At 62.8% G+C, this 22,221-nt stretch overlaps 1 protein-coding gene across 2 annotated transcripts, besides 10 other annotated features; it reads left to right on the top strand.

Moving 5' to 3' along the window:
* Positions 2,116 to 2,245: a silencer, noted in NCBI's record as "silent region_6944". NCBI's record gives its function as "represses an Ori minimal core promoter by ATAC-STARR-seq in GM12878 lymphoblastoid cells {active_cell/tissue: GM12878}" and the evidence as "EXISTENCE:reporter gene assay evidence [ECO:0000049][PMID:35858748]".
* Positions 6,483 to 7,098: an enhancer, noted in NCBI's record as "H3K4me1 hESC enhancer chr16:757007-757622 (GRCh37/hg19 assembly coordinates)". NCBI's record gives its function as "activates a minimal SCP1, AML or CMV promoter by ChIP-STARR-seq in naive H9 embryonic stem cells {active_cell/tissue: H9 hESC(naive)}" and the evidence as "EXISTENCE:reporter gene assay evidence [ECO:0000049][PMID:30033119]".
* Positions 6,483 to 7,715: a biological region, named in NCBI's record as "H3K4me1 hESC enhancers GRCh37_chr16:756390-757006 and GRCh37_chr16:757007-757622".
* Positions 7,004 to 7,220: a silencer, noted in NCBI's record as "fragment chr16:756885-757101 (GRCh37/hg19 assembly coordinates)". NCBI's record gives its function as "represses an EF-1alpha promoter that drives an FKBP-Casp9 reporter gene in an ReSE screen in K562 erythroleukemia cells {active_cell/tissue: K562}" and the evidence as "EXISTENCE:reporter gene assay evidence [ECO:0000049][PMID:32094911]".
* Positions 7,099 to 7,715: an enhancer, noted in NCBI's record as "H3K4me1 hESC enhancer chr16:756390-757006 (GRCh37/hg19 assembly coordinates)". NCBI's record gives its function as "activates a minimal SCP1, AML or CMV promoter by ChIP-STARR-seq in naive H9 embryonic stem cells {active_cell/tissue: H9 hESC(naive)}" and the evidence as "EXISTENCE:reporter gene assay evidence [ECO:0000049][PMID:30033119]".
* Positions 8,304 to 21,605, top strand: FBXL16 (F-box and leucine rich repeat protein 16). 2 transcript variants are annotated; one of them, NM_153350.4, is made up of 6 exons: positions 8,304 to 8,593; positions 16,686 to 17,332; positions 18,182 to 18,690; positions 19,029 to 19,113; positions 19,408 to 19,471; positions 19,682 to 21,605. In NM_153350.4, exons 2-6 carry the CDS (start codon positions 16,700 to 16,702, stop codon positions 19,828 to 19,830), a joined length of 1,440 nt encoding a protein of 479 aa, NP_699181.2. In that variant the 5' UTR covers positions 8,304 to 8,593; positions 16,686 to 16,699; the 3' UTR covers positions 19,831 to 21,605. The 2 variants fall into 2 exon arrangements, with proteins under 2 accessions (NP_699181.2, XP_047289602.1); XM_047433646.1 differs by having other exon boundaries at positions 8,304 to 8,598.
* Positions 13,219 to 14,048: an enhancer, noted in NCBI's record as "H3K27ac-H3K4me1 hESC enhancer chr16:750057-750886 (GRCh37/hg19 assembly coordinates)". NCBI's record gives its function as "activates a minimal SCP1, AML or CMV promoter by ChIP-STARR-seq in naive H9 embryonic stem cells {active_cell/tissue: H9 hESC(naive)}" and the evidence as "EXISTENCE:reporter gene assay evidence [ECO:0000049][PMID:30033119]".
* Positions 13,227 to 13,326: a silencer, noted in NCBI's record as "silent region_6943". NCBI's record gives its function as "represses an Ori minimal core promoter by ATAC-STARR-seq in GM12878 lymphoblastoid cells {active_cell/tissue: GM12878}" and the evidence as "EXISTENCE:reporter gene assay evidence [ECO:0000049][PMID:35858748]".
* Positions 18,357 to 18,406: an enhancer, noted in NCBI's record as "active region_10214". NCBI's record gives its function as "activates an Ori minimal core promoter by ATAC-STARR-seq in GM12878 lymphoblastoid cells {active_cell/tissue: GM12878}" and the evidence as "EXISTENCE:reporter gene assay evidence [ECO:0000049][PMID:35858748]".
* Positions 18,427 to 18,596: an enhancer, noted in NCBI's record as "active region_10213". NCBI's record gives its function as "activates an Ori minimal core promoter by ATAC-STARR-seq in GM12878 lymphoblastoid cells {active_cell/tissue: GM12878}" and the evidence as "EXISTENCE:reporter gene assay evidence [ECO:0000049][PMID:35858748]".
* Positions 18,677 to 18,796: a silencer, noted in NCBI's record as "silent region_6942". NCBI's record gives its function as "represses an Ori minimal core promoter by ATAC-STARR-seq in GM12878 lymphoblastoid cells {active_cell/tissue: GM12878}" and the evidence as "EXISTENCE:reporter gene assay evidence [ECO:0000049][PMID:35858748]".
* Positions 21,606 to 22,221: the final 616 nt, after the last annotated feature.

The raw sequence follows: 22,221 nt of genomic DNA, 5'->3' as shown, positions 1-22,221 counted from the left end.
CAGGTCAGATCACAGAAGGCCTAAGGCACAAGCAAAGGGGTCCCACTACATACTGAACCCCTTACGGACGACAGAAGCTTTAGCCGGGGACTGCAAGGACCAGCATAGACTGTGCAGCCTGAAGATGTGAACATTCCGTCCCCTGCCCCCAAACCTCCTGCCACCCGGCGCTCGAAACTCATGGTGGACAGATGAGTTCACCAGTGGCAGTCGGACAGATGAGGCCAGATGGCTCAGTGGCAGTGGGAGGCTGGATCCCACTGACCAGGCCCTCCCTCAACCCCAGGGCCCTCCCAGGCCAAACAGGAACAAGGCGCCTACTGGGCTCGGCCAGCCCCTTGCTCTGGGCGAGGTGCAGGTCAGAAGTAGCCATCACAATCCCCAAAAGGTGGAAGACTCCCAAAGGCCTGTCTGCAGCTGAGTGGACAAGCAAGTGCAGTGGGTCCATTTTTTTTTTTTTTTTTGAGACGGAATCTCGTTCTGTCGCCCAGGCTGGAGTGCAGTGGCTCGATCTCGGCTCACTGCAACCTCTGCCTCCTGGGTTCATGCCATTCTCCTGCCTCAGCCTCCCGAGCAGCTGAGACTACAGGCGCCCGCCACCACACCCGGCTAAATTTTTGTATTTTTTCTTTTTTTAGTAGAGAGGGTGTTTCACCGTGTTAGCCAGGATGGTCTCGATCTCCTGACCTCGTGATCTGCCCGCCTTGGCCTCCCAAAGTGCTGGGATTACAGATGTGAGCCACCGCGCCCGGCCTCTTTTTTTTTTTTTTTTTTTTTTTTTTTTTTGAGATGGAGTTTCGCTCTTTGCCCAGTCTGGAGTGCAATGGCGCGATCTTGGCTCACTGCAACCTCCACCTCCTGGGTTCAAGCGATTCTCCTGCGTCAGCCTCCCGAGCAGCTGGGATTACAGGCATGTGCCATCATGCCGGCTAATTTTGTATTTTTAGTAGAGACGAGGTTTCTCCATGCTGGTCAGGCTGGTCTTGAACTCCCGACCTCAGGTGATCCGCCCACCTCAGCCTCCCAAAGTGTTGGGATTACAGGCATGAGCCACGGCACCCCCTGGCGGTGGGTCCATTATTAAGCCATAAAAAGGAATGAAGTTCTGGTCCCTTGACACCCGCTACAGCCTGGATGAGCCTGGAGGCTTATGCGCTGAGCAAAATAAGCCAGAGACAAAAGGACAAACACTGTTGGATTCCACTTCTGTGAGTCACCTTAGAGTAGTCACGGTCATGAGGACAGAAAGTGGAGCAGGGGCTGGGGAGGGGAATGAGGGATTGGAGCTTAATGGGGACAGAATTCAGGAGCTTGATTACACAACACAAATGTACTCAACAGTACGGAACTGCACACTTTAAAATGGGTAAAATGGTAGATGTTATGATGTATATCTTACAATTAAAAATAAAAATTGTCAAGGCGCAGCGGCTCCCACCTGTAATTTCAGCAGTTTGGGAGGCCAAGGCAGGGAGATCACAAGGTCGGGAGTTCGAGACCAGCCTGGCCAACATGGTGAAACCCCATCTCTACTAAAAATACAAAAATTAGCTGGACGTGGTGGCGCACGCCTGCAGTCCTAGCTACTTGGGAGGCTGAGACAGGAGAACCGCTTGAACCCGGGAGGTGGAGGTTGCAGTGAGCTGAGATCAGGCCACTGCACTCCAGCCTGGGTGACAGAGTGAGAGTCTGTCTCATAAAAATTAATTAATTAATTACATAAAAATTAAGGCCGGGTGTGGCAGCTCCTGCCTGTAATCTCAGCACTTTGGGAGGCTGAGGCAGGATGATCGCTTGACATCAGGAGTTCAAGACCAGCCTGGCCAACATGTTGAAACCCCAACTCCACTAAAACTACAAAAATTAGCTGGGTGCAGCAGCTCATGCATGTAGTCTTAGCACTTTGGGAGGCTGTGGCAGGAGGATTGCTTAAGCCCAGGAGGGTGAGGCTGCAGTGAGCTGTGATTGCACCACTGCACTCCAACCAGGGCGACAGAAGAGACCCTGTCTCAATAAAAATTAAAAAATAAATAAATAAAATATAAAAATCGTAAAGGTTAAAGGGTAGACTCGGCCTGGGGCTGAGCACATGAGGTGCTCGCAGAGGTGGGGAGAGGCACACGGGTCGGCCGCTGCAGCCACCCAGCCGTCCAGGGCTGCTGCCGCTTGGCGGTCCCCGGGTCAGCACGGTGGGCTCCAGGCGCCCTCTGGTGGCGGCGTGAGGGTCAGCCCCAGACACCCTCCTGACAGCCTGGGCCCCGGACTTCTCCCCAGGCCTCCTCCAGAGAGGGGCCAGTGTCTGTGGTTGGAGGGAGGGGTTCCTGGGGTGACCTGGTCTGGAATGGCACATGCCTGGCCCCGAGTTGACGCCTCAACCCCGGGCGTCCCTGCCTCCTCCCCAGCCTCATCTCCGGGGATCCGGTGCCAATGCAGCCACCCACAGGAGAAGCCCTGGACACACACCCCTTTTCCTCACAGCCCCCGGCCCCACCCAGGAAAGCACCTGGCATCAGTGAGTGCTGTGCTGCCTACAGGAGGGGCCTGGAAGGCCGAGTCTGTCCTCAGTTGCTATGGGTACAGGACCCGACTTGCCAGGGTGCTGGTGCTCAGTAAATACCAGCAGACTAAGTGGGGGGTGGCTGGGCGGAGGAGTGCCTGGAAGGCATCCCCAAGCTTAGGTGATGCCGTGGCTGTCTGTGCTGTTTGGGGGCCCCCTCAAGTGCCCCAAGCCCCAGACCCTTGAGTGCCCTGAAACCCCAGAAGGGGCCTCTCTCCATTTCCACCCAAGTCAGAACGCGACAGCAGCAAGACATACTCAAGTCAGACAAAAGGAAGAACTTCCCTGAGGCTTTGTTTCAGAAACCTTGGGCCTAGCGCGTGAGGCCACCCCTGGAGAGTGCAGAGTCTGGGACAATCATCTCTCCCGCCTGCGGGTCAGCCTGGCCGTGGCCAAACACAGACGCCATATCACAAGGCCCCTCAGCCCAAGGCAGGGCGGCCAGCCTCACAGCTTGTCCCGAAGCCTGAGACTTGGTTTCTGTTCCTGTCTTGCCCAGAGGGCCCTTGGAGCTGCAGCCTGAGGGGGTGCTGGGGTGGGGGCGGTCGAGACCCTGGTCACTGCCACATGGTTCCCACCTTCGGCCACTGCGTTCTCCCCCCAGACACAGGTTCCGGCCCGTGGAGGACACCAGTGCTGCATTTGCCATGAGCTGGGCCCCAGCAGTGCGTGGCACAGGCAGCCCACGTCCCGCAGGGGAGCGGCTGCGGACAGGTGGCTGCGCCACGGAGTGCCGAACAACCCGCTGGGGACACCACAGTGCCGGGCACAGAATAGCAGCTGTCACGGCCAGGGCAGGAGCTGGCTGGCTGGGGCCCTGGGGGAGCAACATCAAGGACGAGGGGAGTTGATGGGGGGGCAGGAAGGGAGCCCCAACCCTGGGGAGAAGAGGGGCAAAGGCCCTGAGGCAGACAGAACTTCGAGTAAACCAGGAACCACAGAGGGTGAGCCCTGGGGGCTCCTTGTTTGCTTGAAGCTCCATCTGCCTCAGAGCCTTTGACCTGCTGCAAAGGGGAGGCGGGTAAGGCCGGCCCCACCCAGCCCATCTGCCCTGAGGGAGTTGGGGAGTTTGGACGCACCGGTGAACAGGATCCCCCAGGAAATGGGGAGGAAGCCTAGAGAGAAGGGCCAGATCGTAGGCCAAGACCCCCGCCTGTGTCTCTGTTCACTGGCAGCGGAGCGAGGAGAGAGGTGTGGGCTGACCTGAAGCCAGCGCCTCCTGTGTCCCCAGCTGAGCCCTGCACGGGATTGGCCAAATGTGCTGCTCTGCGGCCGCCCTGCTGCCCCCTCCCTGGGTGGAGCTGGGGTCTGGGACAGTGAAGATGGCTCCCACAGCTGAGGGGCACTGGGTGCCAAGAGCCTGCCAGACCCTGGGCCACCCAGAAACATGCTCTGATAGTGCAGCTGTGAGCACTGGCCTGCGTCCCCTCTACCCAGCCGACCTATGAGGCTCAGGGTGCTTGGGGGCCCATCAAGGACATAGTCCTAGCTGCCGACTCATCCAGGCAGCCTGCACAACCCCTGGCTCCCCTCCACCGGCCACCTGCCCCCCTGCACAGGCAGGATCCGGCCTCGCCCACCCACAGGCCTGCACCTCCGGGCCCACGGCAGCAAGATTCCTATCTTGGGGATGCTTTCCTCCCTTTGCCGAGAGACCCACCCCCCCACACCTTGCCTCTCTTCAAGGAGCCGAAAATGCAGCTGCCGACTGATTTGCTGTGGAGCTAAAAATAACTGCCGGGCTCCAGCCAGGGCCCAGGAAAATATCCCATTGCTAGGAGACAACCGTTGCCGGGAGACCGCCATTGCTAGGCGACGCGTGTTGCTATGGTGATGGCTGGGCCCTGAGTCATCCTTAGCCTTGATAGGGGGCGAGCCAGGCAGGGAGCAGAGCTGGGGGGCATCAGAGAAATCCCACCGCCCATGGCACTCAGGGCACCCCTAATGGCTGTGAGGTTCTCATGCCTATGGGTGCCCATTCTGGCTGTGGAGGGGTCGGGACGGCCAAACATACCCACAGCCTGCTGCTTCACATGGATGATCCTGGGTGCTCTCGGGCTGTGCTCCAGGCAGGGGGCAGGGGCAGTGTGTGGGGGGATGGTGGCGTGGCCATCTGGCCCCCGGAGCAATCACTTTGCTCTCCAGTGTGGGGATATCACCACAGGTGCAGAGCTGAAGTGAATGTGGGTCCCCTTGCAGTCCTCCAAAGTCTCAGGGCAAGATGTACCAGCAGCCTCTGGTCCTCATCCCCATGGCTCCAGAGTGCCCTCCCAGCCACCTAGATGGGAGACTCCTCAGTGCTGAGGCATCAAGGCAAGGGGTGGTCCCGGTGAAGTATGCTCCTGGTAGGGGTTCTGCAGGAGAGGGGCTCTCCAGGTGAGGGGTGCTCCAGGTGAGGGGTGCTCCAGGTGAGGGGGTGCTCCAGATGAGGGTGCTCCGGGTAACAGGGTGCTCCAGGTAACAGGGTGCTCCAGGTGACGGTTCTCCAGGTGAGAAGGTGCTCCAGATGAGGGTTTTCCAGGTGAGGGTGCCCCGGGTAACAGGGTGCTCCAGGTGAGGGTTCTCTAGGTGAGAGGATGCTCCAACTGAGGGTGCTTCAGGTGAGGGGTGCTCCAGGAAAGGAGTGCTCTGGATGAGGGTTCTCCAGGTGAGGGGTGCTCCAGGTGCCCTCCGGAGCCAAGGCACATACCGCCTCCCATATCAGTCTCCAGGACCAATGGAGGGGTGCGGGCCTGAGCGGTATCCACATCCCCCAGAGGAGATCGAAGTCTGCTGAGCAGCCCCCTTTGTCCAAGCCACTTCCCTCTGGGGTGTGAGCTGTTCTCCAAAGGTATCCTCTACAAGGGCCTCCCGCCACAGGAGGCGATCCAAACTGCTGGTGCCAGTCACCTTTCATGCTGCTGACGCATCGCTGTCTCCCTCATTCGCCAAATTTGCCATGCACCTGTGACGTACTGAGATGGAGGCTCAGTGCCCAGGGACAGGGTGGTGGGGAAGAAGACCGCACCCTGGCCCTCAGCAGGCACAGTCAGCCAATAGCTCATCAAATGCACCATCAGACACCAGGCAGACACAGGCTGAGAAAAGAAGGTCCTTGGTGCTGGGGAGGTGAGGACACGGGTCTGTGGCCCTGTCCTCCTGAGGGAGGGCACCTAGGGGAGAATACATTAGCCAAGGTCTGAAAGGCAAGTAGTCACCCAGGTACAGGTGGCAAGGGAGTGCTCCAGGCAAGGGGCCAGGAGAGGAGTGCTCCAGGCGAGAGGTGCTCTAAGGGAGGGGTGCTCCACATGAGGAAATGCTCCAGGAAGGGGTGCTCCAGGGGAGGGGTGCTGCAGGGGAGCTCCAGGTGAAGGGAGGGGTGCTCCAGGTGAGGGGTGCCCCAGGTGAAGGGTGCTCCAGGTGAAGGGAGGGGCACACCAGGTTAGGGATGGGGCACTCTCCTGGCCCCAGAAGAAGGCCAGTGTGGCTGAAGCTTCATCCTCAAGGGGCCAGGTATAGAGCGAGGCTGTGGGCCAGCCGTGCCAGGCACTCAGGGCTGTGCAGTCTTCAGCAAAGAATGAACAGGGCCCTGGGAAGAACAGGACCATGTCTGCACGGCAAAATGGCCCCGCTGCACCCTGGGGAGAAAAGGAGATGGGAGAGGGGTGGAGAGACCAATGGGGAAGTAGCTGCCACCAGCCATGGTGGAGACAGACAAAGTTGCCCGGCACAGGTGGGGTCACAGAGGTGGAGGGTAGGTGGGTCACAGCTGGTGACAGAGGTGGAGGGTAGGTGGGTCACAGCTGGTGACAGAGGTGGAGGGTAGGTGGGTCACAGCTGGTGACAGAGGTGGAGGGTAGGTGGGTCACAGCTGGTGACAGAGGTGGAGGGTAGGTGGGTCACAGCTGGTGACAGAGGTGGAGGGTAGGTGGGTCACAGCTGGTGACAGAGGTGGGGGGTAGGTGGGTCACAGCTGGTCACAGAGGTGGAGGGCAGGTGGGTCACCGCTTTGGAGGAGCACGGTTGGCCTTTCTGTGATGATCTTCCACACACTCTTCCCTGCTCAGATTCCCCACAGGCAGGGCTAGCTTCTTGGGCCTCGCCAGGGTTGCATGACCCAAATGCCTGACTCCCACGCTCACCCTATGCACTTGGGGTGTGTCCAGCCCACCCTATGCACTTGGGGTGTGTCCAGCCTGCCCTGTGCGCTTGGGGTGTGTCCGGCTCCAGCCCCAGCTGGGACTCAACACAAGCACAGCTTGTTCTCTGCCTGAGGCCCTGGCACCTGCTGTGGTGAGAGCCCCAGGCACGAGGTGAAACCCTCCTACCGGGAGCAGTCCACGCCTGGGGTGGAAGCTGCTGCCAGAGGGCCAGCCTGCCAGACCATGCACCGGAGACACCCAGATAGGTTGGACCGCCGCTCCCCTGTTGCCCCAACTGTCTTCACGGGGCTCGTCCTGTCTGCCCCACTCCGGGCACCTTCTTTGGTCAGTATCCAGGTACCGGGCAAGACTTACGCAGAAGAGCTGCTGCGCTCACCCCAGGTAGACCCAGTGGCGCCCCCACAGCAAGCACAGAACCACCCCACCCCGGGACCCAGCCAGGGTGCCGTCAGTCTGACCCTCCTTCCCGCTGACCCCAGGCCTCACACCGGCCCCTTCGGCCAGGCTTCCCATCAGGACGCTGGGAACAGCAGCTGGTTTCACTCCTATTGAGATACTCTCAGGAGCCCCATTCAGCCCTGTAGCTCTTTCCCGGTGCAAAGAACCCCTCTGCTCTCCCCACACCTGCTCCCTCCCCCGGCCCTGCTCCCAGGAGACCCCAGGATAGGGCGCCATTGGCCTCCATTCTCCTGCCCTGAGCCTGCTGGGGCGTCTGGGGTCTCCAGCGGTCCCCACCGAGTCCTCCACCTAACCTAGCACGCCCCACCCCTGCCCCGGGCTGCAGCAGCCGCCGCCGCCTCCAGCCTCCAGTTTATTCCCGAGGGAACTTGCCAGGCTCCTCGGATCTTTGCACCCCCATTCCCGAGCCATCCCTCCCTCGCGCCGTGGGGGGGTCTCAGCTCCAGTGGGGCACCCTCAGGAAGCCCCCGCCAGAAGTCACCACCGCAAGCCCTCGGGTGCTTTCACTGTCACTGTCTGAACTGATCCGTGCAGTCACTTGTTTTCGCGCTCTGCGGGTGTGCCAGGGTCTCCAATGAGGGGCTTCCGGCCGGGCACGCAGCAGGTGCGCGGGGGGTGTGAGGGCTGTGAAGGGTCCTTGCCGTGGGCTGGGCGGGAGGGTCCAGAGACGGGGGTCTGACCACCCTGTCTCCTCTGGGCCGGGTCTCGCCTTCCTCGCCTCCCCAAGTGGTGGCCAAGGGCCGGGACGCGCGGTGCCGCCCCGGTCCCCATAGGACCCCGGACCCCTGGGCCACCCGCCGGCGCCTGCTCTCCCGCCTCCCCTCGCCCTCCCTTCTGCCTCCCGCGCCCTCCCCGCCCGCCGCGCGCCGGGGTTTGTTATTGTGCGGGTGCCCGCGGCGAGCGGGGCGGGGGCGCGTGCCGGGCCTGGCGCGTGCTCGTGGACGCCGTGCCGGGAGCGCGCCGCGCGCGGGGGCCGGGGCGGGGCGGGGGCGGGGCTCGGCATTCTCGGCGCCCCCGCCCGGGCTCGCGAACCCGGATTGGCTCGCCACGCCGGGAGCGCGCGAGGGCGCGGCGTTTGGTGCCGGGCGGGGGGCGCGCGCGGCGCCGGCGGCGGCCACGGAGGAGCGCGGGGAGGGCGAGGGGAGGAGGAGGCGCCCGCCTGGTTCCCTGCAAAGCGGCCTTATTTATCTGGGCACAGCCTCAGCCTCCCCGGTGGGAGGCTTGGGGCGGCCGATCCTCTCCCACCGGGGAGCTCCTTTCCGTGCGCTGCCGAGGGGGCCCGGCCAGGACGGGACGCGGGGCGCAGGGCGCGGCCGGGCCCTGCCGGCCAGTCCAGCACCCCGGCGGCCCCCGCGCGCCGACGCCCATGCCGGGCTCCCCATGACGGGAGGTCGCCCGGCGGACAGCGTGGCATGAGCCAGGAGCCCGGGCCGAGGTAAGGTGCGCGTGCGGCCGGGCTGCGGGGCCGGGAGGGGGCCAGGCCGCACCTCCGCGGCGGCCACAATGAGGAGGGGGCGGGGTGGGGGTGGGGGCCGCGCCGCCGCCGCCCGGGAAGGGCTTACGTAACGGCAGCCCCTTCCCCACCTCCCCCGCGGCCGCTGGGCCTCGGTCCCTGCCTGGCCTTCCCGCAGCCCCGCGCCCCGGCCCCTGGCCCGGAAGAGGGCCGCTCCCCACTGGCCACTCGGCCGGGGCTGGGGGTCCGTGCCTCCTGGGACGCCGAAAGGAGGAATTGTAGGCCCCCGGCCTCCACCCCGGGCGCCTGGTCGGCTCAGAGGGCGCCCCCGGACCGAAGTGACAGGCCAGAGACCGTTAAACTGCATGGGGGTCGCGTGGATGTGCGGCCTGAGGGGCGGCCCTCCCCGGGCGGGCGGCTTCTGGACCCGGGGCCTGCGCTGAGCTACTGCCCGCGGGAGGAGGAGGGTGGGGGGAGGCTGGCACCTTCCTGGTTCTGGAGGCGGGACCGGGCCTTGGCCAAGGTTGGAGGGCCTCAGAAGGGAAACGGCACCTTCAGACCTGCTCGGGAGGGGTCCGGTGTCCTCCTGGGGATTAGGTGGGTGGAGAGCGTTCCCCACCCATCACCTCAGGAGAGAGGGCTGCGGTGGCAGCTTCAGGAACTGACGGCCCAGCGGCCACTCCAGGCCCTTCCCAGGCTCCAGGCTCTGTTCGGGCAGCCTGCCCTCCGCAGGAGGAGCAGATGGCGGAGGCCACCTCACCTGCCTCTTCCTTCAGGCCCTTCCCCCACACCCGTGCATCCGAGGGCCCAATGGCCAGGGGCAGCTCAGGCCTCCCTGGACACAGGGCCGTCTCCCAGCCCACCCCCTCTGTGGGGTGCTGGACAGCAGCCTTGGAGCAGATAGGCCTGGGTCAGGCCAGGAGACTGAAGGGTTTTCTGTCTCCCGGACCAGGGCAGAGGCCTAGTGGAACCTGGCTGGTCTGGCCAGAGGTGGACACAGGGCTGGACCTGGAGCCGCCTGGAGGGGAGGGAAATTCAAGGCCCAGCTGCAAACATCGCTGTGTGGGGGAACCCTAGGACTCACTTGCCCCACTCCCTGCCCCCTGCCACCCCAACTGCCCCTCATCTGGGGCCAGACCCTTGAGTTCAGCCCCTCCATCGACAGACTCACTGCCTCCAGCTCACACCCACTTCCGGGGCGGCTGGACGAGTCCTACCTCCCACTGATGAGAAGGACACAAACAGCTTCCTGTGTGGGAGGCACGGGGCCCTTGAACCAGCTGGACATGGACCCAGGAAGCCTTGTGTTGCTGAGAGTTAGGGATCTCCCACCCAGGTGGCACTGTTCAGCCACCCGAAGACCCCATCTCCTTGCATGTGGGCACCCACTGCTGTGCCTCCCATGACTGGATTGGCAGTGAAGGGAGCTCTGTGGGTGAGCAGGTGACTGAGCCTTCCCCACCAGTGGTGCAGGAGGAGTCAACGGCCAAACTGGCTGCAATGTGTGGGTTCAGGCCTCATTCCTTCACTGGGCAGGAAAGAGGGGTGATGGTTAGTGGCAGCTGCCTGGAGCAGTAGGCACTAGGGGCCCAGGCCTCGCCTCTGAGGGTGCTCATGCTCTTCCGAGCAGGGGCTGAGATGAGGCCTGGATCCCAGCACCCACTCCCCAGGGTGTCCAGCTTTCAAGGCTGAGCTGCCCTGGGCTTGACCATGGGCCCTCAGTCTGCTGGGGCAGCAACACGGGTTTCTCTTGAGGCCACGTGCCTGCTGCGCCATGGTGCCCCTCCTCAGAGCCCCTGGTGCACCCCCAGAAGCATCTCAAACTGGGGGCGGGAGAGGAGCTCTGCCGCTGTGCCACGTGCCAAGTGGCAGGGACGCGGGTGTGCCTGCGTCACGGGGCTGCCACGGAATGTGTCAGTCTGCACCCTGTCCCCAATCCCCAGCCACCCCAGCTGTCAGCCAGGCTCTGGGGCTGCCACTGCAGATGGAGCCCGATGTGCATTTCTCTGGCCACCAGGGCCCTGCCCAGCTCTAAGGCCCTCTGCAGGCAGGGCTCAATGGTCCCTGAGGTTCTATGAGGGCTGAGTGGTTGGTTAGGCTGTGCCCCAGTCTGGTGCTGACAGAGATGGGGGCACCAGAGATGGGGGAAGAGACCTTCAAACTGGGGGCGCTGAGGGGTGAGGAGGTTTCCCAGGCATGTGTCCAAAAGGATGTCCCAGGGGTGGGCACGCGGTGTGCAGCCTCTGCAAGGAATGCAGCGCCGTGGCAGGGACCCTGCAGGATGAGGGCAGTACTTGGAGAGACCACTAGCCCAGGGCCCAGCAGGAAGGCATCGAGACCCCATGAGGCAGAACAGGGCAGAGCGAGGACCCTGTGAGGTACACCTGGCAGGACCCAGGTAGAGGGAATCAGCCAGCCCCGGGGCTTTTGGAGCCAATCCTAGCTCTATGTAACTTCTGGAAAATCCGTCTGCAAGCTCTGCTTCCCCACTCCTAGTTAGGCAGTGTGTGAAGGAAGGACTCTGGCCGGTCAGAGGAGGGGTGCGTGTGGTGCCAGGGAGAGCGGGGCAGGAGGACCCCCTTCCCTCTCTTGGCTCAGGCCAGATGGTGGAGGACGGGCAGCCACTTCCTCAGCCCTGCAGCTCCTGAAGAGAGAGCCAGCTGAAAAGGAGATGGGCCCTCCTCATCCGAAGGCTCTGTGTATTGCAAGGCCCACCCCAGCCCTGGGGTCTTGGGAGCCCTCTCAGTGACTCAGGTACCAACCTAGTCCCAACCCCAGAGGCCACTCTCCCCGCGGACACTGGCCATGGCACGATCCGGGTTAATTTCCCGAGCTGTGCCTTCCCCGCTGACCGGCCTCTTCCTAAATTTGACCAATCCTCCATCAGCCCTCCGGGGGCCTTGGCAGCTGCACCCCTTTCTGCGTGACTGAGCTAGCGGAGCCACATTCCGCATTCATTCATTCGTTCCCTAATTCATTCATTCCGCGAACATGCAGAGGCCATGCACGTTGGTGCTGTCTGTCCTCAAGAGTCCTCAGGCCAGGAGGAGAGACACCAGGTGGACAGTGATGATAACCCATGTGATTGCAAGACCCTGGAGACGCTTTCTCAAGAGCTGGGGGTCCCGGAGCAGGAGGCAGGGGCGACCTCGCACCAGGAACTGAGGGATGGAGGAGAAGAGCTTGCAGGGCTAAGGCAGGGAAACCCTGCCAGGCAAGCAGGGGGAACGGCGTGTGCCCAGGCAGAGGAGCAGGGGAGGAGGAATGGCATGGCTGGGCTGTGGCATCAGGGCTGGGAAGGGGCCGGAGCTGAGGTCTCCGGGCTCAGTGACTTGATTCGCAGAAGAGGCAGCTCCTGCGGGGCCCCCACATGGCCGTCTGGGAATGGTCAGCCTGGATGCTGTACATGTACATGTGGGGACCCCCAGGAGCACCCAGGCCCCACCGTGCTCCCTAGGCTCACTCTGGCCACACGCTTCACACTGCGTCCCCTGGGGAGGACACAGAGGCCACGGCCACCTCTCCCCAGCAGCTCCCAGGCCAGGCTCAGGCTGCTGAGGACAAGACAGCTGAGGTGGGGCCACCTCTCTCTCTTTCCCCTGGGGTGAGCCCCGGAGCCTTGACAGGATTCCACTTCAAGCTGAGCCAGCACCACAGGGGCTGAGGCTGAGGATGGTGCAGGCATGGCCACCTTTTTAACAAGTCTCTTCCCCGTATTAGCACCCGGGCTGCTTGTCCCTAAAGGGAGAGGCAGTCCCTAGCAGCCCACGCAGGTCGTCCGAGCCCCTCTGGGTGGAACGAGGGCTCTCACAGTCGCCAAGCAGGAAAGGGGGCTCTGTGAGCCATGGGAACCGGCTCCTTGGTGACCGTCTGGCTGGGTGGGTGGGGCCGGGCCCAGGGCCAAGCAGAGGGGCCCTTGTGTGAGCCCCCAGGGACTTCTCGCTGAACGGGCAGAGAGACCCCAGTCTCCAGTTGAGCTCAGCTTTCTCCCGCAGCGCCCATGCCTGGGCCAAAGTGTGTGGCTGTTTGCATTTTTGAGCTACGGGGTGGGGGATATTCGGGCTGAGTCAGTCAAGCCGGGAGTGTGAGGAGCAGCGGGGGCCGGCAGGAACGTGGACGCGAGATTGGGGAGCAGTGGGGCTGCCTGTGCGGGGATGCAGCTCCCACCAAGCACACGGGTCGAGGGCTGACCACAGGCAGAGCAGCGCCTTCTGGCAGCGCTGCGGGTGTGGATGAGGGAAGCCAGGCCCCGGACCCATACCCAGACGGCCGCTCCTCAGCCTGTCCCCTCCCTCCTGTGGGCTCTCAAAGTGCGGCTTGGTTTCTCCATCTCGACCCTGAGGCCTGGAGGTGGGGACGGGACTGTGGGCGCCGGCAAACGTGAGCTCCCGAGCGGGGCGGGAAAGGAGCCCCGCGAATGCCTCCCCCAGCCCCGGCGCTCCACGTGCAGGCCCATGACTGGGAGCGTTTTCAACCTAAATCGGCACTGCGCCGGGATTATTCCTCCCCTGGCGCCGCCCCCGCCGCCTCCTCCGGATCCTTCCCGGCTTCTCCCCCACTCTTCGCCCCCGGGGCCCCTCCCTGCTGAGCGGGGGCTGCCGGGATTTGGGATTGCGGGGCTGCCCCGACCCCGCAGCCGTCCGCGGTGGAAGCCAGCCCGGGCCTGGCCCTGAGCGCGCGGCTGGGGCGGCCGCTGTCCATGGTGCTGGCGCGGGTGGCGCGCCGGCCGGCGGGGTCTGCGGAGGCCCAGGCGTCCCTGGCGGGGAAGGCGGCGCTTCCGGGTCTGGGGAGCGAGGGTCCCCGCTCTAGGGGCACGGAGGATATTTAGACTGGGGCGCCCGTGGGCCTGGTGCTGCCGCCTCGGGCGCCGGCATCCTGCGATATCCCCTCTCCCCGGCTCTGGGAGGGAACCGAGGCAGCCCCGCGCCAGGCCTCCCCGGACACCTGGGGCAAATTCGCTCCTCAGAGCCTCGTGTTCCTTCCCCAAACCTGAGGTAGCGACCCCTCCACCCCTAAGGGCGGCCGTGAGGTCGAATCATGTGCCGACCCCAGCCGGCCCTTGCAAACGTTGTGATGTCGGCCTCCGGAGGCCGCGCCTTCTGATCATGGGCACATGATGGGGGTCACCGGCTGTGGGTGCCTCCTCTGTGGAGGGCCCGGCCTCACCTTCCAGGACCCGAATGATACTCTGGGGAGGGGGAGATGGTACAGAGGGTGGAGCTGGGGCTCCTGCCATTAGGGCAGGAAGGACTTTAAACCCAAAGCTGGGTTCTCAGCCACGAGGGCCACGTGTTCTGGCGAGACCCCTGGTCCCGGCTCCGGTCTACACCCCCTCCCCAGATGTGGACCGGTGGCAAGGCTGGCCCTGTCTGGGGCTTGGAAGCCAGTGTGGGGACCTGCTGCTGGGAAGAGCGGGGCAGGACCTCCCACTGCCTCCCTGCCTCCCTGCCTCCCCTCCCCCCTGACCAGATTATGGGGAATGGGCTGCGGGCCTTGGGGTTGCAGTGCCGTCCGAGACCCCGCCACTCTCTGTGGTGGAGCAGGCCAGGCCCTGTAGCCCCAGAAGGGACACTCAGCCAAAAAGATGTGAGCCATCCTCTTCCTGAGAGTCTGCATATTGCAGGGCCCACCCCAAGCGTTGGAATCTTCGTGGGAGACTCTCAGACACCCCCTTGGTGGCTCCAAGAGACCTTCCAGTGAGGCTGTGGCAGGAGGGGGCAGGGTGGGCTGGGAGAGGCTTTGGCCCCTCCTCTGAGATTTTGGGGCAGGAAGGCAGGACCTGCATGAGGCTCCAGGCTTAGTCCTGGAGTCACCTAAGACCGGGGAAGATGCATCTTGCTTTGCCCTGGAGTGTGGCCGTGGGGCTCAGACATCACTCTCCCAGACCTTGCTATGAGCCACGCACTGAGCTCGTTCACTTTGCAATGCCCCAAGGGAGCAGGTACCGTCACCTCCCCAGGCTTCAAGGTGAGGAAATTGAGGCTCAGAGAAGGGAAGTGGCTTGCCAAGACCACAGAGCCAGGGTGGGGCCCATTTCAAGTCCAGGGCGTGTGACCCCAGGGGCTCTACCTCCTCCCCGGATGTCGGGGTGGGGGCGGCAGGAGATCCGAACTGTGGAGCAGATGGTGGCACAGTGAGGGTCCCACCTCTGCTTCTTTCCGTGGCTGTGCCCAGTGCCCCCTGCCACCCACTTACAGACTGGAGGCCTGAGGAGGGTGCCCGGGACTGCTCCCACTCCACCCTGTGCGTGGATGTCGCTGGCCTGAAGATAACCTCCGCATGGCCTTCCTCAGCCAGCTCTGCCCGAACTTTGGCTTCACCACTTATCTGGCCATGACCTCGGGCAGGCAGTTTGCCCAGCCTTGGCCTCAGTTTCCTCATCTGTGCAGTGGGTACAGCTATCACAGCATCGTTCTCATTGGGCAGAAGATTAAAGCGACAGCTTGTGTCCAGGGCTAACCATGCTGGCACCACAGCACACCCTGGGAAGATGCCCGCCCTTTCTTTGCATGGATTCTTTTTTCTTTTTCTTTTCTTTTTTTCTTTTTCTTTCTTTCTTTCTTTTTTTTTTTTTTTTTTTGAGACAAAGTCTCACTCTGTTCCCCAGGCTGGAGTACAGTGGTGTGATCTCGGCTCGCTGCAACCTCCGCCTCCTGGATTCAAGTGATTCTCCTGCCTCAGCCTCCCAAGTAGCTGGGATTACAGGAGCCTGCCACCAAGCCCGGCTAATTTTTGTATTTTTAGTAGAGAAGGGGTTTCACCATGTTGGCCAGGTGGTCTCAAACCCCTGACCTTGTAATCCACCCACCTCAGCCTCCCAAAGTGCTAGAATTACAGGCATCAGCCACTGCACCCAGCCCCTTGGGTAGATTCTGAGCCAGGGAAGCTCCTGTGCATGTGGAGGGTGGCTGCAGAGTCAGCACCAGAGCCCCTCCTGAGCGCTGTGCAGTCACCCTGCAGGGGAGGGGCCAGAGGCCACCCCAGACCCTTCCCTTCAGTTCCCCTGGCCTGCCCAGAGGGGTGGGCCTGGTGGGTACCTACAGTGGACGGCACAGCAGAGAGGTCAAGAGAGCAGTCCTGGCCTCACCAGGTCCACCTCCATTTTCTTCTCTGTAAAATGGCCATCATGGTACCTAAGTGCTAAAAAGTGTCGGCGTTTCTTCGCCTCACTGGGCAAACAAAAAGGTTTCCGGTCAGGCACGGTGGCTCATTCCCATAATCCCAGGACTTTGGGAGGCTGAGGCGGGTGGATCACTTGAGGTCAGGAGTTTGAGACCAGCCTGACCAACATGGAGAAACCCCATCTCTACTAAAAATACAAAATTAGCCGGGTGTGGTGGTGGGCGCCCGAATTCCCAGCTACACGGGAGGCTGAGGCAGGAGAATCACTTGAACCTACGAGGCAGAGAGGTTGCGGGGAGCCAAGATCCTGTCTCTGCACTCCAGTCTGCGCTCCAGGCAACAAGAGTGAAACTGTTTCTTTTTTTTTTTTTTGAGACAGAGTCTTGCTCAGTTGCCCAGGCTGGAGTGCAGTGGCGCAATCTCGGCTCACTGCAAGCTCCGCCTCCCGGGTTCACGTCATTCTCCTGCTGCAGCCTCCCAAGTAGCTGGTACTACAGGCGCCTGCCACCATGCCCAGCTAATTTTTTGTATTTTTAGAAGAGATGGTGTTTCACTGTGTTAGCCAGGATGGTCTCGATCTCCTGACCTCATGATCCACCCGCCTCGGCCTCCCAAAGTGCTGGGATTACAGGCATGAGCCACCGCGCCCGGCCGGAACTCTGTTTCAAAAAGAAAAAAAACAAAAGAAAAAGAGGGTGTCCATGGGCAATGAAGGTTGGGCTCAGTGCATACCGTAGGTGCCCAGTGAGTGCTGCCAGTGGCCATGGTTGGCTTCCTGTTGCTGCTCACAGTCTGGGAGGGAGAAGCAGGCACTCCCATCCTCTCTGTCTGGTGGTTCTGGGAGCACCATAGGGACGCCCAAGGAGGGAAGGAGCCCCACTGCACCCGCCCCCAACCCCGGCCTTCCAGACTCAGCAACAGACTCACTCCCCCTCCCGGCCCTCATCCACAGAGCGTGCCAGGAAGATGTCGAGCCCGGGCATCGACGGCGACCCCAAGCCTCCATGCTTGCCTCGAAACGGTCTGGTGAAGCTGCCGGGCCAGCCCAACGGCCTGGGTGCGGCCAGCATCACCAAGGGCACGCCAGCCACCAAGAACCGCCCCTGCCAGCCACCACCCCCACCCACCCTCCCACCACCCAGCCTGGCTGCTCCACTGTCCCGGGCTGCCCTGGCTGGGGGCCCGTGCACCCCGGCAGGTGGACCAGCCTCAGCCTTGGCACCTGGGCACCCAGCGGAGCGGCCGCCGCTGGCCACGGACGAGAAGATCCTCAATGGGCTCTTCTGGTATTTCTCGGCCTGCGAGAAGTGTGTGCTGGCCCAGGTGTGCAAGGCCTGGCGGCGCGTGCTGTACCAGCCCAAGTTCTGGGCAGGCCTCACGCCGGTGCTGCATGCCAAGGAGCTCTACAACGTGCTGCCTGGTGGCGAGAAGGAGTTCGTGAACCTGCAGGGTTTTGCCGCCAGAGGCTTCGAGGGCTTCTGCCTGGTTGGCGTCTCCGACCTGGACATCTGTGAGTTCATTGACAACTATGCGCTCTCCAAGAAGGGTGTCAAAGCCATGAGCCTCAAGCGCTCCACCATCACGGACGCAGGCCTCGAGGTGTGCACCAGGCTCGGGGGGGACAGGGCTGGGGGGCAGGGGCGGGCAGCAGCAACCCTATGGAGGTGGGAGCGGATGGTGGCTTTGGGGTGGGAGGAAAGAAGGACTGACTACAGGGGACCTCGCGCAAAGCGAAAATGTGGGTCCCTTGTTCAAAGACACTCAAGATTTTCAAGATGGCAGCAGCAGGGCAGTGGATTAAATGCAGGGCCCAGGCCCGGTGGCTCAAGCCTGTCATCCCGGCACTATGGGAGGCCGAGGCAGGCCACTCACTTGAGGTTAGGCGTTCATGACCAGCCTGGTCAACATGGTGAAACTCTATTTCTATTAAAAATGCAGAAATTAGCCAGGCCTGGTGGTGGGCACCTGTAGTCCCAGCTACTTGGGAGGACACTGAGGCAGGAGAATCGCTTGAACCCGGGAGGCGGGGGGTACAGTGAGCTGAGATCATGCCACTGCACTCCAGCCTGGGACCTGGGCAACAGAGTAAGGCTCTGTCTCAAAATGATTGAATGAATGAATGAATAAATAAATAAATAAATAAATACAAATGCAGTGTGGGGAGGATGCGAGGGGGAGCTGAGGGGCAGCTGGGAAAGGATCCCCCAGGAGTAGAGGTCAGAGGAGCCGCCTGGCAGCCGGGTCTGGAGTCTAATTGTAACGCTGGTGCCAACGCCCCCAGCACCTGCCCTGGCCAGGCCCTGGGCTCTCGTCCCGATGCCCCGCCTCCTCACACACTGCCAAATGTTTTCAGGGTTCAGCTCCCTGCATGTTTACACCCTACTGCTTCCTCCCTGCGGGCTCCACCCCTTCTCCTGCAATCCTGACCCGGCGCCCGCCCGCCTGCAGGTTATGCTTGAACAGATGCAGGGCGTGGTGCGTCTGGAGCTGTCGGGCTGCAACGACTTCACCGAGGCCGGGCTGTGGTCCAGCCTGAGCGCGCGCATCACCTCGCTGAGCGTGAGTGACTGCATCAACGTGGCCGACGACGCCATCGCGGCCATCTCGCAGCTGCTGCCCAACCTGGCGGAGCTGAGCCTGCAGGCCTACCACGTGACGGACACGGCGCTGGCCTACTTCACGGCGCGCCAGGGCCACAGCACGCACACGCTGCGCCTGCTCTCCTGCTGGGAGATCACCAACCACGGCGTGGTCAACGTGGTGCACAGCCTGCCCAACCTCACCGCGCTCAGCCTCTCGGGCTGCTCCAAGGTCACCGACGACGGCGTGGAGCTCGTGGCCGAGAACCTGCGCAAGCTGCGCAGCCTTGACCTCTCGTGGTGCCCACGCATCACCGACATGGCGCTGGAGTACGTGGCCTGCGACCTGCACCGCCTAGAGGAGCTCGTGCTCGACAGGTGCGCGCCCCCGGGCCGCGCCGGGCGGGGCTGGGCCGGGCGGGGCTGCACGGGGCGGGGCGGGGCGGGGCTGCACGGGGCCGGGGGCGGGGGCTTCCGGCGGGGCTGGGGCTGTGGCGCGGCGGGCAGAGCCCTCGGAGCCTGGGGAGTGGGAACCGCAGAACCGCAGCACGGGTTGGCTGGACCCCCGTCCTTCCCGGTGGGTGGGAGCGAGGAGGGGCCAGCGGCTGCTCCGGGTGGGGCAGGAAGGGATTCACGCCAGGGGCACTCCCAGGAAGACGAGGGATGGCCGGGGCCAGGTGATTTGAAGGTGGGGGTCCCCTCTGGTGCAACCACAGGTGTGTACGCATCACGGACACTGGCCTCAGCTATCTGTCCACCATGTCGTCCCTCCGCAGCCTCTACCTGCGATGGTGCTGCCAGGTACCGGCTCTCACGCCCCGGGATTGGGGGATCGGCGGGGAGGTGGGGGCGCGGGGAGAGCTCCCGGCCCCACTCAGATCCTGGGAGAGTCTGGGGCCCCTCCCTATCCAGCAGCCGACCTAAGCGGAACGCAGGGGTCCCGGCGGCCCCCACGAGCACTTCCCAGCCGCCTCCCGGCTCCGGGGGGGACGGAGGAACCCCGGGCTTGAACCCGCCTAGCCCTCCATGGACCCCAGGGTGCCCTCCGCCTCGGTGCGAGCGGAAATCGTTAAGTCGCTCCTCCACTCCCGACAGGTGCAAGACTTCGGGCTGAAGCACCTCCTGGCCCTGGGGAGTTTGCGCCTCCTGTCTCTGGCAGGTGAGACCCCCGTTTCTGCTCTGACGCTGGCAGTGACCACCCACCCCCACTTAGTCCACCCGCCCAACCTGCCCGGTCCTTGTGCAAACTCACACCCGGCGCGGACACACAGTCCCGGGTCCGAGGCGGAGGAGGAGGGAGGCGCGGCCCGGCCGTCCCCGCCCGAGCCCTGGGCCGCGCGCACTGAGCCGCCCTCTGACCCCGCCGCAGGCTGCCCGCTGCTCACCACCACCGGGCTGTCGGGCCTGGTGCAGCTGCAGGAGCTGGAGGAGCTGGAGCTGACCAACTGCCCCGGGGCCACCCCCGAGCTCTTCAAGTATTTCTCGCAGCACCTGCCCCGCTGCCTCGTCATTGAGTAGCGCGAGGCCCCCGCCCCGGTCGCGGGAACCCGGCCATGACCTGGGCGGGGGCGCGGGGCGCCGCCGAGCCCCCTCTTCCCGCCTTGCGCTCGGGGGAGCCCCCGCGCCCCCGGCCCAGCGCGGGAGGCGGGGCGAGCCGAGGGAAAGCCCCTCCCCGACCTTCGGTCCCTCCGCCCTCCCAGCCCCGCCCCGGGCAGGGGGGCGGCGGGTGGGCCCGCCCCACGCACGCACGCACACTCGGGGACTTTGTGCATGCCCCTCGTGCCCGCACTGCACGCCGCCCTCCGCCACGCCACAGCCACAGCCGCCGCCATCACTCGCTCGCCCTCCCGCTTGGGGGGCGGGGCTCGGTCCTTGGGGGGGCTTTGAGCTCTCCAGACTGTGCCCTTACCGCCTTCCCCGCCACACCCGCTCTGTCTTCCCACTGTCCCCCCCATCCCGGGCAGGGCCCAGTGGGATTGAGGGGGCTGGGTCCCCCAGGACACGGGCCCAGAAGAGCCCCACGGGCTTCCTGCATCTTCCACCGCACCATACCTGGAGCCCTCCGAGGGGTGTCAGGGGAAACAGGCCACCGCCAAAGCCATGGCCCGCCGCCGAGAGCCCAGGCCCCACCCGCACCTCCTCACCCATCCAGCCTGACCCACGCGGCCTCTCCTCCTCCTTGCCGCTGTGTGGGGCAGTCCCCTGTCCGCCCCAAAACCCGGCCTTGGTCCCTGGCCAGGCTGAGAGAATTGGGCAGGGAGAGGGCGGAAGGGCTGGCGATCGCTTGGAGTCATTAACGTGATCCCAGCTGACTCCGGTCGGCCTCAACCCAGGGGTGGCGCAGGCACCTTGCAAGCCTCGAGCTGTAGCCACCCTCAGGCCTGGGAAGAGGCCTGGGCCGACCTCACACCTCAGCCCTTGCACCCGGCCGGGCTCAGTTCAGGCCTGGGCACCGAGCTTCACCCTGGGTGGGTCTCCTCAGGTGGAGTCTGCAGAGTGGACCCAGCCAAGGGTCAGGGTCAGCACTGGGTCAGCGACTCCAATCTTCCAGTGGCCAGCACACCCTAGACACCCCGAGGAGGGAGGGCTCCTTTCTAGCCTGCCCCCCCACCCCCACTTCACCCCTCCCCAGCTTCCCAAACTTCTGTCTGCCCAAATGGGCTCTGACCGTGCTCTGTCGGCCCGAGACATTTGGAAGTCCTGGGGGATGCTGGCAAATCTCAGCTGTTGCTGAGGAGGGGGCTGGGACCCCTTCCCATCCCAACCTTGAGCCCCAGGAGATACCGCGCCCACACCCAATCTTGGGACACTCCCTATCTGGTTGGAAGAGAGTAACCAGTTTCCAGAGAGCCAGAGAGTGAGAGAGAGAAAGAGAGTGAGAGAGAGAGAGAAAGAGAGAGAGAGATGCTGTTGAATCAGAAACAGATCAACAGCCCAAAGATTTTCCTGTCCCTGGAGTGCCAGCCCCAGGAAGCTCCAGGGCTGAGTGGTCAGGAGCCAGTTTCTCCAGCCCCTCCTCCCCACAACCCCTAGTGGGGAGGGGCAGCTGTCCATTTGCCCAAAGTATTAATGCAACTGAAGCTGTGATATTTCCAACGACTGTAGGAGGAAAAATTAAGGGGAGAGAGGAAAACAAAACCAACCAACCCCTAAAATCATTTTCTTATTGTACATAACGACCTCATTCTCCTGTATATGCGGAAGATATAACCTTATATTTGGTAAGTGTTTCTTGTGCTATTTTATCACGTGACCTGTTTATAAAAATATATATTAAAAAAGTTGTAAAAACATGTGTCTGAGTTGTTTTTAGGTCCCCAGACAGCGGTGTAGGTGGGCATATCTGCCCTGCGCATCCCAGGTCTCGGGATTCTCCTGTACCTCTTATCAGATTTATTCTTTCTTGCAACAAAGGGGTAGAGGCTGGATGCCGACATGGTAGAATGGAAACAGCAGTGACTACATGGAAGGCAGAGGACCTCCCATTCCTTAAAGGGAGAGACAACACTGAAGTCACTACACATAATATTCCCTCCAACATATCCAGACTCTAGCCCACCCTTCCAGAGAGGCAGAAATAAACCCTGTTCTATACACAGTAACAGGCAAGGACAAGGATGTCGCAAAAGATTACAAAATGCACCAATAGCAGACAATGGCTCACACCCAGGAGAGACAGAGAGGTCGAAAAAGGCAACTGAGGCTGGGCACAGTGGCTCACGCCTGTAATCCTAGCACTTAGGCCGAAGCGGGTGGATCACCTGAGGTCAGGCGTTCAAGACCAGCCTGGCCAACATGGTGAAACCCTGTCTCTACTAAAAATACAAAAAATTAACAGGGTGTGGTGGTGGTTGCCTATAATCCCAGCTACTAGGGAGGCTGAGGCTGAATCGCTTGAACCTAGGGGGT

Source organism: Homo sapiens, chromosome 16, assembly GCF_000001405.40.
Source record: "Homo sapiens chromosome 16, GRCh38.p14 Primary Assembly".
NCBI lineage: Eukaryota > Metazoa > Chordata > Mammalia > Primates > Hominidae > Homo > Homo sapiens.
Note: the sequence above shows the minus strand (reverse complement) of the source record. Positions and strands in the feature narration are given on the sequence as shown.

What these genes read in the sequence shown, in the direction of transcription:
- FBXL16 (NM_153350.4), top strand. Translation starts at nt 16,700, where the DNA reads ATGTCGAGCCCGGGCATCGACGGCGACCCCAAGCCTCCATGCTTGCCT. An exon ending in TCACGGACGCAGGCCTCGAG is followed by an intron (nt 17,333 to 18,181) that starts GTGTGCACCAGG and finishes GCCCGCCTGCAG; the next exon opens with GTTATGCTTGAACAGATGCA. An exon ending in GCGCCTCCTGTCTCTGGCAG is followed by an intron (nt 19,472 to 19,681) that starts GTGAGACCCCCG and finishes ACCCCGCCGCAG; the next exon opens with GCTGCCCGCTGCTCACCACC.